Source organism: Homo sapiens, chromosome 2 (assembly GCF_000001405.40).
Source record: "Homo sapiens chromosome 2, GRCh38.p14 Primary Assembly".
Lineage (NCBI taxonomy): Eukaryota > Metazoa > Chordata > Mammalia > Primates > Hominidae > Homo > Homo sapiens.
Window position 1 is genome coordinate 13,986,629 of NC_000002.12, and position 1,800 is coordinate 13,988,428.

Genomic DNA, 1,800 nt, shown 5'->3' on the forward strand with positions numbered 1-1,800 from the left:
TGGGAGTCACGTTGTGCAAGTTTTTGCTTTTATAGGGTATTTTTTATGAATTGCAAATTTATCAGATTTATCATGGCTTAAAAGTCTCTACAAGCTAGCACTTTTTTTTTTCACTACATGCCCCACTACCTCTTATTTCCTATACAAATGTACTTGATTCTTTGTCATGCTGGACTCTGGACTGTTCCTTCCTCCACTTGCTTTATAGAGACTTATCTCTGTACCTAGAAAAGCCACTCAATTTATCTTGAAAACTCATCTTTCCATACAAGTCTCAGTTTAATATCCTCTTTTCCTAGAAAATATTTCACAAAATACCAGGCTGAATTTATTGCATCATTTTTGTTTGCATTTCATCTCAAACACACTTCTATTACAACATTCAAGCCAGGCTATATGTAGCTTCTCTCTATATAAGTATTTATTCACTACACCATGAGCTCCTTGAAAGCAGGAAATGTGAATTTTTTTCTACATTTTAGACCCAACCAATCCCTAATGTCCCCGACCTTTTTGGCAATCCCCAATTCCTAATGTTCCCAACCTTTTTGGCACCAGGGACCAGTTTCATGGAAGACAATTTTTCCATGAACGAGGGGTGAGGGGGCAGGTGATGGTTTTGGGATGAAACTCTTCCACCTCAGATCATCAGTAATTAGCTAGATTCTCATAAGGAGCGTGCAATCCACATCCCTTGTATGTGCAGTTAACAGTAATGGTTCTGGTTCCTATGAGAATCTAATGCCACCACTGATCTAACAGGAGGCAGAGCTTAGGTGCTAATGCCCTCCTCATGCTCACCTCCTGTTGTACAGTCGAATTCCTAACAGGCCAGGGACCAGGACTGGCCTAGGGTTTGGGAACCCCTGCCTTATATAATAGCAACTCAATAGTTCCCCAATGTATAAATCAAAGGATAAATCAAGAGTTTTTCTCATAATTGAAAGACATAAAGTATACATACAAAAATGAATCTTTAATTTATTTATTCACATATTTATTTACTCTCTTTCTCTTTATACCAAATGTTGCACTTTATAAAAATATGCAAAAATGAGTAGCACCTGGTGCGTGACCTGGAGGAAGTCATGCTCCTATGGGGTAGCAGACATTTAAAGACCTTACTTCAGTGTATCTAGAACATCATTGATTGTAAAATGTACCATTATATTATATGCTGCTAAGAAATATGGAGTACTGCAAATGCAACTCTGACATATTATTCTTATGATATAGAATTCTTATTCACTTTCTCAGTCAACCTTCCCAGGAAGTCTTACAGTTTCTAAAGAGAATGCCTCTGAAGTTCTGTTCACACTGTCCATTCATATCGTGAATAAGCCCAAACATAAAAAAAAAGATGCAATAAACTCAGCCTGATACGTTGCAGAAAAAGCTCTTTGAGACTTAGTAAAAAAAATAAACTGGTAAGATTATTCTTAAAATTTCTGCACACTTGAAGTTTGCTTCTTTTGAACACTTTTCAACTCAGAGTTGTCAGTCTTACGTTTTATCCATGAAATATAATTATTTGTGCTCAACAGAGTTATTGATGTTGCTAAATTTGCTTTTTTAAAATCACAAAAAATAATAGCTATTCAGGAAAATTTGTAGTGTGTTCTTGTTTTTTGAATGTTGCCCACAACTTCTGATTTGTCATCTCCCTTATCCCCTCTGCAGTCAATTTGATAGTAGGAATTAAAAGTATTTTCCCCCTTTGTTTCTGGAAATTTCTTTTGAATTCTTATATTGCTGCATTTAATGTTTGTGCACGCATATGCCATAACGCCTATATTATGG